Below are 13737 nucleotides of genomic sequence, written 5' to 3'. Positions count from 1 at the left end.
GAGTGTGATCACTGGATCATATGGTAATACTATGTTTATGGTAAGACTATGTTTAGTTTTGTAAGAAACTGTCAAACTGTCTTCCAAAGTGGCTATATTATTTAGCATTCCCACCAAAAATGAATGAGAGTTCTTGTTGCTCCACATCCTTATCAACATTTAATGTTGTCAGTGTTTTGGATTTTGGCCACTCTAATAGGTGTGTAATGGATTTTGTTGTTTTAATTTGCATTAAACAACAATTTAATGCCTGCCGGGTGGCTCACACCTGTAATCCCTGCATTTTGGAAGGCCAAGGCGGGTGGATCACCTGAGGTCAGGAGTTCGAGAAGAGCCTGGCCAATATGATGAAACCCCCGTCTCTCCTAAAAATACAAAAATTAGCTGGGCGTGGTGGCAAGTGCCTGTAGTCCCAGCTACTCAGGAGGCTGAAGCCAGGAGAATCGCTTGAACTTGGGAGGCGGAGGTTGCAGTGAGCCAAGATCACGCCACTGTACTCCAGCCTGGGTGACAGAGTGAGAGTCTGTCTCAAAAAATAATACTAATAACAATTATCTGTATTTGTATTTCCCTGATGGCATGATGTTGAGCATGCTTATTTGCCATCTGTATTTTTCTTTGGTGAAGTGTCTGACTAAAGTCCGTTGCCCATTTTTTAATCAGGTTGTTCATTTTCTTACTGTTCAGTTTTAAGAGTTCTTTGTGTATTTTGTATGACAGTCCTTTATCAGGTGTATCTTTTACATTCTCTCCCATTCTGTAGCTTGTCTTTACATTTTCTTGACATTGTCTTTCACAGAGCAGATATTTCTAATTTTAGCACAGTCCAGCTTATCAATTACTTAGTTCATGGATCATGACTTTGGTGTTGTATTTAAAAAGTCATCGCCATACAAAAGTCATCTAGGTCAGTGGTCCCCCACCTTTTTGACACCAGGGACTGGTTTCCTGGAAGAATTTTTTTCATGGACTGGGGGTGGGGGGGATTCAAGCAAATTACATTTATTGTGTACTTTATTTATAGTATTATTAAATTATAATATAATAGTGAAATAATTATACAACTCACCATAATGTAGAATCAGTGGGAGCCCTGAGCTTGTTTTCCTGCAACTAGATGGTCCCATCTGGGGGTGATGGGAGATAGTGACAGATCATCAGGCATTAGATTCTCATAAGGGGCATACAACCTAGATCCCTCACATACACAGTTCACAGTAGGGTTGGGACTCCTTTGAGAATCTAATGCTGCGACTGATCTGACAGAAGGCAGAGTTCTGGCTGTAATGCAAGTGATGGGGAGTGGCTGTAAATACAGATGAAGCTTCACTCACTTGCCTGCTGCTCACCCCCTGCTGTGTGGCCCCTGGTGTAGGTGTTCCCCTATATTATCTTCTAGAAATTTTATAGTTTTGTATTTTACATTTAGGTCTGTGATCCATTTTAAGTTTTGTGAAGGCTATAAAGCATGTGTCTAGATTCATTTTTTTGCATGTGGATGTCCAGTTGTTCCAGCACCATTTGTTGAAAAGATTATCTTTGCTTCATTGTATTGCCTTTGCTTCTTTGTCAAAGATCAGTGACTATATTTATGTGGGTCTATTTCTGGACCCTCTGTTTATTCACATAAATATAGTAATTGATGGCCAGGTGCGGTGGCTCACGCCTGTAATCCCAGCACTTTGGGAGGCCGAGGTGGGCGGATCACGAGGTCAGGAGATGAGACCATCCTGGCCAACATGGTGAAATCCCGTCTCTACTAATCCCGGCTAATACAAAAAATTAGCCGGGCGTGGTGGCGGGGACTTGTAGTCCCAGCTACTCCGGAGGCTGAGGCAGGAGAATGGCGTCAACCCAGGAGGCGGAGCTTGCAGTGAACCAAGGTCTCGCCACTGCACTCCAGCCTGGGCGACAGAACGAGACTCCGTCTCAAAATAAATAAATAAATAAAATATATATAGTAATTTATGTGTCTATTCTTTTTCTAGTACCACACTATGTTTGCTACTGTAGCTTTCTAGTAGGTTTTTTTTCTTTTTGGGGCGGGGGGTGTTGGTAGAAACAGGGTCACGTTATGTTCCCCAGGCTGGTCTCAAACTCCTAGTCTCAAGCAATCCTCCCACTTTGGCCTCCCATAGTGCTGGGATTACAGGCATGAGGCACTATGCCAGGCCTATAGTAGGTTTTTTTTTTTTTTTTTTAGACAGAGTCTTGCTATGTCGCCAGGCTGGAGTGTAGTGGCATGATCTCGGCTCACTGCAACCTACACCTCCCAGGTTCAAGAGATTCTCCTGCCTCAGCCTCCTGAGTAGCTGGGATTACAGGCGCGCGCCACCATGCTCAGCTAATTTTTTTATTTCTTTTTGTATTTAGTAGAGATGGGGTTTCACCATGTTGGCCACTCTTTTTTTGTTCATTCATTCATTTGACAGGGTGTCACTTTGTTGCCCAGGCTAGAGTGCAGTGATGTGATCTTAGCTCACTATAGCCTCCGACTCCTCAGTTCAAATGATTTTCCCGCCTCAGCCTCCTGAGCACCACCATACCCGGCTAATTTTTTTATTTTTTATAGAGACATGGTCTTGCAGTGTTGACCAGGCTGGTCTCAAACTCCTGGCTTCAAGCAATCCTCCTGCTTTAGCCTCCCAAAGTGCCGGGATTATAGGCATGGGGCACCACCCCTGACCTACACTAATTTTTATTATTTCTTTTCTTCTGCTTGCTTTGGATTTAATTTGCTCTTTTTCCCCCTAGTTTTCTAAGGTGGAAGCTTAGATTATTGATTTTAGATCTTTTTCTTTTCTAGTATGTTTATTCACTGCTATCAGTTTCCCACTAATCACTGTTTCTGCTGCATCCTACAAATTTTTATAAGTTGCATTTTCATGTAGTTCAAAATACTTTTTAATTTCTCTGGAGATTTCTTTTTTGCTTCATGTATTATTTAGAAGTATGTTATTTAATCTAAGTCCTTTCATATTTTCCAGCTATCTTTCTGTCACTGATTTCTACTTTAATTCCATTGCAGTTTGAGGGCAGACATTGTGTGATTTCTTTTAAACTTGTTAAGGTGTGTTATATGGCCCAGAATGTGGTCAGTCTTGGTAAATGTTCCATGTGAGCTAAGAAGAATGTATAATCTGTTGTTGGATGAATTAATCTATAGATGTTAATTATGTCCAGTTGATTGATGGTGCTGTTGAGTTCAACTGTGTCCTTACTGATTTTCTGCCTGCTGGATACGTCCATTTCTGATAGAGGGGTGTTAAAGTCTCCAACTGTTAATATAAGAGCAGGTTCATCTATCTGTCTCTTTGCAGTTCTGTCAGTTTTTCCTTCACATATTTTGATGCTCTGTTGTTAGCTACATACACATTAATTATTTTTATTTTTATTTTTTATTTATTTTTTTTTTTGAGATGGAATCTTGCTCTGTCGCCCAGGCTGGAGTGCAGTGGCACAATCTTGGCTCACTGCAAGCTCTACCTCCCAGGTTCAAATGGTTCTCCTGCCTCAGCCTCCTGAGTAGCTGGGATTACAGGTGCATGCTACCATGCCTGGCTAATTTTTGTATTTTTAGTAGAGACAGGGTTTCACCATGTTGACCAGGCTGGTCTCGAACTCCTGACCTCAAGTGATCCACCCACCTTGGCCTCCCAAAGTGCTGGGGTTACAGGTGTGAGCCACCATGCCTGGCCTGCATTAAGAATTTGTATGTCATCTTGGAGTATTGACCATTTTATCATTATGCAATGCTCGTCTTTATTCCTGATATCTTTCTTTCTAAAATTAATATAGCTATTCTCACCTTTTTTGGATTAGGGTATATCTTTATCTTTTTACTTTTTTTTTTTTTTTTTTTTTGAGATGGAGTCTCGCTCTGTCACCCAGGCTAGAGTTCAGTGGCGTGATCTCCGCTCACTGCAAGCTCCACCTCCCGGGTTCACACCATTCTCCTGCCTCAGCCTTCTGAGTAGCTGGGACTACAGGCACCCGCCACCACGCCCAGCTAATTTTTTGTATTTTTAGTAGAGATGGGGTTTCACTGTGTTAGCCAGGATGGTCTCGATCTCCTGACCTTGTGATCTACCCGCCTTGGCCTCCCAAAGTGCTGGGATTACAGGCGTGAGCCACCGCACCCGGCCTATCTTTTTACTTTTAATCTATATGTTTATTTGTATTAAAGGGGTTTTCTCATATACAACATACAGTTAGGTCTTGTTTTTTGATTGACTCTGACATTGTCTCTTTTTTTTTTTTGGCAGTAATTTTGTTTTATTAGATAAAAGGTTTGTGAGGCCGGGTGTGGTAGCTCACGCCTGTAATTCCAGCACTTTGGGAGGCCAAGGCAGGTGGATCACCTGAGGTCAGGAGTTTGAGACCAGCTTGGCCAACATGGTGAAACCTCGTCTCTACTAAAAATACAAAAATTAGCCAGGTGTGGCAGTGTGCGCTTGTAGTCTCAACTACTCAAGAGGCTGAGGCAGGAGGATCGCTTGAACCTAGGAGGTGGAGGTGGCAGTGAACTGAGATCGTGCCACTCCAGCCTGGCCGACAGAGTGAGACTCCGTCTCAAAAAAAAAGATAAAGGGTTTGTGAGAGTAGAAGGAAATATTTAAGGTTTCCTCCTACTGTCCAAGGCTAGTCAAGTGTAAACAGAAAAAACCCCGTTGGGCTGTGCTGAGGCATTGCGCACAATTTGTCATGTGCATCTCAGTGCTGACCAAAACATACATGCTGGCAGGCTTCACAAGCAAGAGAAGTGCCTCTGAGTGTTTCCTCAGGACAGGACCTTTCTATTGAAGATCCTGCAGAGGGAGAAAGTTCAGAGTTCATGCCAAACCTGCAGACTGCTTTGTCATAATTCCCCAGGATCCAGGCACAGATAGTTCCCTAAAGACACTACCATAGAGACAGTGACCATCTCTTCCTCAAACACAATTACGCACACTCCACGCTTTTTTTTTTTTTTTTTTGAGACGGAGTTTCGCACTGTCTCCCAGGGTGGAGTGCAGTGGCACGATCTCAGCTCACAGCAGCCTCTGCCTCCTGGGTTCAAGCAATTCTCCTGCTTCAGCCTCCTGAGTAGCTGGGATTACAGGTGTATACCACCATGCCCGGCTAATTTTTGTATTTTTAGTAGAGATGGCATTTCACTATTTTGATGGCATTTCACTATTTTGGCCAGGCTGGTCTTGAACTCCTGACCTTGTGAACTGCCCGCCTTGGCCTCCCAAAGTGCTGGGATTGCAGGCGTGAGCCACTGCACCCGGCCCTTTTTTTTAAGATGGAGTCTTGCTCTGTCTCCCAGGCTGGAGTGCAGCGGCACCATCTCAGCTCACTGTAACCTCTGCCTCCCAGGTTCAAGTGATTCTTGTGCCTCAGCCTCCCAAGTAGCAGGGACTACAGGTACCACCATGCCTGACTAATTTTTTTTGTATTTTTTTAGTAGAGACAGGGTTTCTCTCTGTTGGCCAGGCTGGTCTCGAATTCCTGACCTCAGGTGATCTGCCTGCCTCAGGCTCCCAAAGTGCTGTTGTGTGTGAGGCACCACATCTGGCATCCACACTGTTTTCCTACCTAGAAACCACCAGGTGCCTTCGTAAGCTCCCATGCTTGGTTGCAGATCTCAATACACAGCACGGGCAGAAGCCAACAGCAACCTCCAACGGCAAGGATCCCAGTGTGCTTGGAGCTGGAGAGGGCTGATTCGAATCCCAGATATTTTTTTTTTTTTTTTTTTTGAGACAGCATCTCACTGTGTCACGTAGGCTGGGGTGCAGTGGCAAGGTTGTAGCTCACTACAGCCTCAACATCCCTGGCTCCAGCAATCCTCCCATCTCAGCCACTGGAGTAGCTGGAACAGCAGATAAGCACCACCATGCCCAGCTAATTTATTTTTATTTTTGTTAGAAATAGGGTCTGCTGATATTGCCCAGGCTGATCTCAAACTCCCGGGCTAAAGCAGTCCTCCCGCCTCAGCCTCCCAGAGTGTTGGGATTACAGGCATGAGCCACCGTGCCTAGCTCATTTTCCTTCTCTCTAAAGAACTTCTTTTAAGATTTCTGGCAAGGCAAGTCTGTGGGCAACAATTTCTCCGTATTTTGGTTTGCTTGAGAAAGTCTTTATTTTTCCTTCACTTTTTTTTTTTTTTTTTTTTGAGAGAAGATCTCACTGTGTTGCCCAGGCTAGAGTGCAGTGGTGTGATCTCAGCTCACCTCAACCTCCTGGGCTTAAGCGATCCTCCCACCTCAGCCTCCCAAATAGCTAGGACTATAGGTACACGCCAGGACACTTGGCTAATTTTGTTTATTTTTCATTGAGATGAGATCTCACTGTGTTGCCCAGGCTAGTCTCAAACTCCTGGACACAAGCAATCCATCTGCCGTGCTGGGATTATAGACGTGAGCCACACCACATGTGGCCTTTCTTCTGAAGAATTGTGCAGGATACAGAATTCTAGGCTGATAGGGTTTTCTCTCTTTGACTGTACTCTCTGCTTGCATGGTTTCTGAGAGGTTAGATGTAATTCTTGTTTTTGCTCCTCTGTAGGTAAGGTGATTTTCCCTCTGCCTTCTTTCAAGATGTTTCTCTTTCTCTTTGATTTTCTGAAGTTTGGATATGATATATCTAGGTGTAGTTTTTTGTTTGTTTGTTTGTTTGTCATTTAGCCTGCTTATTGTTCTTATGGTGTGGTGTCTGACATTGATTTGGGGGGACATTTTTAGTTATCGCTTTAGTTATTGTTTAGCAATACCAAATATTGTGTGTGTTTCTTTCTTTCTTTCTTTCTTTCTTTTTTTTTTTTTTCAGAGACGGAGTCTCGCTCTTTCTCCCAGGCCGGACTGCAGTGGCGCTATCTCGGCTCACTGCAAGCTCCGCCTCCCGGGTTCACGCCATTCTTCTGCCTCAGCCTCCCGAGTAGCTGGGATTACAGGCGCCCGCCACTGCGCCCAGCTAATTTTTTCTATTTTTAGTAGAGACGGGGTTTCACTGTGTTAGCCAAGATGGTCTCGATCTCCTGACCTCGTGATCCACCCGCCTCGGCCTCCCAAAGTGCTGGGATTACAGGAATGAGCCACCGCGCCCGGCCGTGTGTGTTTCTTTCTTTCTCCTATTATGCACATATTATACCTTTTGTATTTGTCCCACAGTTCTTGGATATTTTGTTGTTGTTATTTTTTTTTTAGTTCTTCTTTTCTTAGCTTTCCAGTTTTGGAAGTTTCTATTGTCATATCCTCAAGTTCAGAGATTCTTTGTTTTTAGAGACAGTGTCTTACTATGTCACTATGTTGCCTAGGCTGGTCTCAAACTCGTGGGCTCAAGTCATCCTCCAATTTCAGCCTCCCAAGTAGCCGGAACTACAGACACATGCAACCATGCCCAGCTCAAGTTCAAAGATTCTTTGCTCAGCTATGTCCAGTCTACTACTGAGCCCATCATAGGCATTCTTCATTTCTTTTTTGTTTTTTGAGACAGATTCTCTCTTGGTCACCCAGGCTGGATTGCAGTGGCACGATCTCAGGTCCCTGCAACCTCCACCTCCTGGGTTTAAGCAATTCTCATGCCTCAGCCTCCTGAGTAGTTGGGACTACAGTCTTGCGCAACCATGCCCGACTAACTTTTGTATTTTTAGTAGAGACGGGGGTTTCACCATGTTGGCCAGGCTGGTCTTTAACTCCTGACCTCAAGTGATTCACCCACCTCAGCCTCCCAAAATGCCGGGGTTACAGTCATGAGCCACCGTGCCTGGTCGGGATTCTTCATTTCTGTTACAGTGTTTTTTATCTGTAGCGTTTCTTGTTTGTTTGTTTGTTTGTTTGTTTTATAAAGAACAGAAATTTATTTTCTCACAGTTGTGGAAGCTAGGAAGTTCAAGATCAAGGTGCCAGCAGATTTGGTTATCTCACAAGGGCTGCTCTCTGCTTCCAACATGGTATCTTGACATAGCATCCTCCAGAGGAGAGGAGCTCTGTGTCCTCACATGGCAGTTGGAGGACAGGGTAAAGTGATGCCAAATCTTTTGCCAAATCCTTTTATAAGGGTACCTAATGCCATTCATGAAGGCTCCATCCTCATGACTTAACCACATCCTAAACATTCTCTTAATAATGTTACATTGGTGATTAGGTTTCAACATGAATTTTGCAAGGGACAACATTGTTCAAACCATAGCACTAAGGAAGGTTGGGAGAGCTGCCAGAGGGAAGAACAGAGGGAGGGAAGGTTTGGTGGAGGGGTCCTAGACTGCTGTGCCGTCTAAGGAGGTTGGTGAGGCTCTCAGTGCCTCTTTTCTCAGAATCTCTGGGAATAACTTGGGCCAAGTTCAGGTTCTTTTAGCCCTCTGGATCCCTTCTGCCTTCGTGATATATCCATAAACAAGTTGCACAGTCTTGGCTACAGCTTTTTAAAGAAGCAGAGTTACTTCCCTGGGTGTGTCCTCTGGTGTCTGGTAAGAGATGTCTTCAAGCTGAAGTCTTGCCCATACTCCCTGCACAACAAAGCCTTCTCCCCTGAGTGTGCCTTCCAGTGTTTATCATAGGATGATTTATACCTAATCCTTTGTCCACAACTCCTGGCATCTATAAGGCTTCTCTGCCAAGTGTGTTCTCTCATGCACAGTTGACTTTTGGGTAAAGTCTTACCTACACTCCTTGCATACAAAAGACTTCTTCCCTGAGTGGGTTTTCTGATATGCAGTGAGAATTGCCTTCTATAAGAAGTCTTACCCACACTCCTTTCACAAGAAAGCCTTCTTCCCTGAGTGTGTCCTCTGGTATGTGAAGTGTGACTTATTTCTAAAGCCCCGCCCTCACTTATTGCACACATAGGACTTCCCTCCTGCATGTATATTCTGGTGCAAGAGTAATGCTGACTCATCACTCCCTGCATATGAAAAACTAATGCTTGGAGTGTGCTTTTTTGTGTATGAGTAGATTTTTTTTTTTTTTTTGGAGACTGCATCTCGCTGTTGCCCAGGCTGGAGTGCAGTGGTGCCATCTTGGCTCACTGCAACCTCCACCTCACAGGTTCAAGTGATTCTTCTGCCTTGGCCTCCTGAGTAGCTGGGATTACAGGCGTGTACCACCAAACCAGCTAATTTTTTTTTTTTTTTTTTTTAAGACAGAGTTTTGCTCTTGTTGCCCAGGCTGGAGTGCAATGGCACAATCTCGGCTCACCGCAGCCTCCGCCTCCTGGGTTCAAGCGATTCTCCTGCCTCAGCCTCCCCAGCAGCTGGGATTACAGGCGTGCACCACCACACCCTACTAATTTTGTATTTTTAGTAGAGACAGGGTTTCTCCATGTTGGTCAGGCTGGTCTCGAACTCTCAACCTCAGGTGATCCGCCTGCCTCGGCCTCCCAAAGTGCTGGGATTACAGGCATGAGCCACCACACCCAGCCTAGTTTTTGTATTTTTAGTAGAGATGGGGTTTCACCATGTTGGTCAGGCTGGTGTTGAACTCCTGACCTCAGGTTATCCACCCGCCTCGGCCTCCCAAAGTGCTGGGATTACAGGCATGAGCCACCACGCCCAGCCAAGTAGCTTTCTTTTCTTTAATTTTTTTTTTTTTTTGGCTTAAGCTCAATGGCAAGAAAGAGTAACTTTATTTTCTGACTAAAGTCTTGCTCACCCTCTGCACACTTGAATGCTCCCCATCTTGAATTTACTATTTCTTTTAATATATGTCTATTTCTTTAGGATTTCCCATTTGGGCCTGGCTAGGCTCTTTTTTCACCACTGAAGCTTACTGGTTATAAGCTTCCCCTTGAGCTTACTTATTGTCTTAGGAGACAACCCTTGAAGTCTGCCTGTCTCTTATAAACCAGGATTTAGTGCTTTTTTCTGTCTCTTGACCTTCTGCTGTATCACTCTGGCTGCTTTGATGAGAATATTGTTGCTACTGTGATCCTGGGCCACAGGGCCTTTTCTGCATATAAGCCAGGAGACCTCTGAGCAGCACGGCTATGTGGCATGTATTTGCTGAGGAAGTGTTGACTGGAAAAGACCAGTGGGCAGTAGGGACAGAGTTGGATTTCTGGCTTTGATCTTGCTCTCTCCTGGCTCTCTGGGGTCCTAGGACATTGTCCTGCTCACCATGGAGAAAGAAAGCCTGTGGAAAGCTGATGTTTACCAGTTTATTATAAAGGATATTATGAAGGATACGGATGAAAACCAGATAAGGAGATGCATTGGTGGGAAGGGGTGCAATGCTTCCATGCCCTTCCTGGGCCTGTCACACTCCTGCACCTCCATGTGTTCAGGAGCCTAAAAGTTTCTCTTTTTTATTCTTTCTTAGAATTTTCATCTCTCTTCTTATATTATCCATCTGTTCTTACATGTTGTTGTGTTAATCATAGTGTTTTGGAATTCCTGGACTGTTAATTCTGACAGTTCTGTCATATCTCACTGGTTCTGGTGCTTATTCAGTTTCTTCAGAGTGTATTTTTGCCTTTTAATATGACTTACAATTTTCTGTTGAAAGGTGGACATGATATACTGGGTAAAAGGAATTGGTAAATACGTCCCTAGTAAAGTTGTGATGAGGTATGACAGGGAGGGGAACTGGAAGTGTTCTACTGTCGTATGATTAGGTCTCAATATTTTGGTGAGCCTATGCCCTGGACTATAAACTTCACCAGTGCTTCTCAGTTTTGTTTTCTTTTCCCCACTTGGATGGGACAGGATGGCTAGACGGGGGTAGAATTGGGTATTACCCTTCTCCCAGGTTAGTTAGTCTATGATAAAACCGCAGCAGGTTAGGCTCTGGTAAAGTATTTTCTCCTGAGGGCAGGCCTTGTAAAGAAGAACAGAATGCTCTGGGGTATTTCAAAATGGTTCCAGTAGTCCCCCCTTATTCACAAGGATACATTCCAAGATTCCCAGTGGAGGCATGAAACCAGATAGTACCAAACCCTATATACAGTCAGCCCTCTGTATCCATGGGTTTCTCATCCATGGATTAAAACAATCATAGGTAAAAAATACTCAGAAAAAAAAAATTCCGCAGAATTCAAAAAGGCAAAACTTAAATTTGCTGCCTGCCAAGCACTACATTGAATCCACACGAATGAAGTGATATGTAGGCATTGTATTAGGTATTATAATAATCTAGAGATGATTTAAAGTATATAGGAGGATATGCACATTTTATATGCAAATACTACACCATTTTATATCAGGGACTTGAGTATCTGTGGATTTTGGTATCCTCATGGGTCTTGAAACCAGTCCCCCATGGATATGGAGGGATGACCATACTATGTTTCCCTATATGTACATACCTATGAAAAAGTTTAATTTATAAATTCAGCACAGTAAGAGATTAACAACTAATAATAAAATAGAACAGTTATAAAAATATACTGTAATAAAAGTTATATAAATGTGTTCTCTCTCTCAAAATATCTTATTGTACTGTACTCATCTTTTTTTTTTTTTTTTGGCCGGGTACAGTGGCTCACGCCTGTAATCTCAACACTTTGGGAGGCCGAGGCGGGCAGATCACTTGAGGCCAAGAGTTCGAGACCAGCCTGGCCAACATGGTGAAACCCCGTCTCTACTAAAAACACAAAATTAGCTGGGTGTGGTGGTGCACACCTTTAATCCCAGCTACTCAGGAGGCTGAGGCACAAGAATTGCTTGAACCCAGGAGGCGGAGGTTGCAGTGAGCTGAGATTGTGCCACTGCACTCCAGCCTGGGTGACAGAGTGAGATTCTCTCTCAAAAAAAAAAAAAAAATTAAATAGAGGCAGGGTCTCACTCTATCACCCAGGCTAGTCTCGAACTCCTGGGCTCAAGCGGTCCTCCCACGTCAGCCTCCCAAAATGCTGGAATTATAGGTGTGAGCCACCTTACTCGACCAGTACTCATCTATTTTTGAACTGCAGTTGACTATGGGTAACTGAAACCATGGAAAGTGAAACCACGGGTAAGGGGAGGCTACTGTACTTTTCCCTTTCCCCCCGCCAAAAGCACAAGAAATTTCCCCTGATATTCACCGTAAGAACCTAGTAGAGCTGGGAGAACCTGGAGGTAAATCTCACAACGGTGTGGGGGCTCCTCTGTGACTGGGTCTCCCTGGCATTTTTAACTCTCAGACTTGTCCACACTTGGCCTCTAGCTTCATCAATTATAGTTCAGGTTTTCCTCCCCTGGCACTTGATTGTCATGCAGGTTTCAGCTCATGGGTTTCTGCTCCTTTAGGTTGTGATTCTCTATATCTGCCAATTTGGGGAACAGCAGTTTGCCCTGTGAACTCACTTCTCTGATAGATCTATGAAGAGTTGTTAAGATTTTTCAGTTCAGCTTTTTATTTGTTGTTAGGATAGAGTGACAACTGTTATTCTAAGCTCTTTATATGCCAAGCCAAAAACCAGAAGTCTCAGTCCTTTTGGTTTATGAATCGAGTAAGAAATACATTTTACATTGCAACTTAAAACACTTTTTCTTTTTTTTTTTTGAGATGGAGTCTGGCTCTGTATCCCAGGCTGGAGTGCAGTGGCACTGTCTCGGCTCACTGCAACCTCCGTCTCTCAGGTTCAAGCGATTCTCCTGCCTCGGCCTGCCGAGTGTCTGTGATTACAGGTGTGCGCCACCACACCCAGCTAATTTTTGTATGTTTAGTAGAGACCGGGTTTCGCCATGTTGGCCAGGCTGGTTTTTAACTCCTGACTTCAGGTGATCTGGCTGCCTCAGCCTCCCAAAGTGCTGGGATTACAGGCGTGAGCCACCGTGCCCAACCAAAACACATTTTTTATATAATAGAAATTAGAGAGCCATGTAATAGTATTCACCCTTATCTAGTGTGATGTACTCTGTAGTTTCTTTTGTTGTGGTGGTGATATTTCAGTGCGGATTTGTCTCCCTGCTCCCTTTTTTTTTTTTTTTAAAGAGATGGAGTCTCACTGTGTTGCCCAGGCTGGACTCAAACTTGTGGGCTCAAATGATCCTCCCTTCTCAGTCTTCTGAGTAGCTGGGACTACAGGTGCACACCACTGTGCCTGGCTTTCCCTTTTAAAAAAATGCTGGTTACAGTGGTTTGTGGTTATGGGTATAATTGCTTGGAGTTTGTCACCTATTGTCTGTTATCTGCCTGCTCCTCTGCTGCTCTTAGAATGGAGATAATTATGTTTAAATTATGAAAAGATAATATGTATATTAGTTTCCTGTAGGCGTTATAACAAATTACCACAAACTAGGTGGCTTGAAAGAAAAGAAATTTATTATCTCACAGTTTGGGAGACCAAAAGCCCACCAAGATATTAAAGAGGACCGTATCCTCCTGAGAAGGCTCTCCAGGAGAATCCTTTCCTTGCCTCTTCCAGCTTCTAGTTGCTGCCGGCATTTCTTGGCTTGTGGTTACATCACTTCAATCTCTATGTCTTTCTTCACATTGCCCTCTCCTCTCTGTGTGTTTCTAATCTCCCTTTGCTGCTGTCTTAGAAGGACGCTTGTGATAGCATTGAGGGCCCATCTGGATAATCCCCTCATCTCAAAGCCCTTAATTTAATCACCATATAAGGTAACATTCACAGCTTCTAAGAATTAGAACATTGATATATCTTTGTGAGCTGTTATGGATTGAATTGAATTTTTATGGTGAAGTCTTAACCCCAGGTACCTTAAAATGTGACCTTATTTGGAAACAGGGTCATTGCAGATGGCATTAGTTAATATGAGGTCATACTGAAGTAAGGTGGGCCCCTACTCCAATATGACTGGTGTCCTATAAAAAG

The 13737-nt window shown here is 43.8% G+C and overlaps 2 protein-coding genes, 1 long non-coding RNA gene and 1 pseudogene across 15 annotated transcripts in view, besides 2 other annotated features; 2 read left to right on the top strand and 2 right to left on the bottom strand.

The window, feature by feature from the left end:
• The window catches only part of ATF7-NPFF (ATF7-NPFF readthrough), a 119695-nt gene that overhangs the window by 41855 nt on the left and 64103 nt on the right, over nucleotides 1-13737 (top strand). The window lies entirely within an intron of this gene.
• Nucleotides 1-13737, top strand: part of ATF7 (activating transcription factor 7) — a 118527-nt gene that overhangs the window by 41855 nt on the left and 62935 nt on the right. The window lies entirely within an intron of this gene.
• LOC124902937 (uncharacterized) overlaps nucleotides 1-13737 on the bottom strand; it is a 50712-nt gene that overhangs the window by 1550 nt on the left and 35425 nt on the right. The window lies entirely within an intron of this gene.
• Nucleotides 6205-6394: an enhancer, noted in NCBI's record as "active region_6424". NCBI's record gives its function as "activates an Ori minimal core promoter by ATAC-STARR-seq in GM12878 lymphoblastoid cells {active_cell/tissue: GM12878}" and the evidence as "EXISTENCE:reporter gene assay evidence [ECO:0000049][PMID:35858748]".
• Nucleotides 6895-6974: a silencer, noted in NCBI's record as "silent region_4516". NCBI's record gives its function as "represses an Ori minimal core promoter by ATAC-STARR-seq in GM12878 lymphoblastoid cells {active_cell/tissue: GM12878}" and the evidence as "EXISTENCE:reporter gene assay evidence [ECO:0000049][PMID:35858748]".
• LOC100419830 (zinc finger protein 337 pseudogene) lies at nucleotides 8422-9942 on the bottom strand (annotated as a pseudogene).

This window comes from Homo sapiens, chromosome 12 (genome assembly GCF_000001405.40).
Source record: "Homo sapiens chromosome 12, GRCh38.p14 Primary Assembly".
Lineage (NCBI taxonomy): Eukaryota > Metazoa > Chordata > Mammalia > Primates > Hominidae > Homo > Homo sapiens.
Note: the sequence above shows the minus strand (reverse complement) of the source record. Positions and strands in the feature narration are given on the sequence as shown.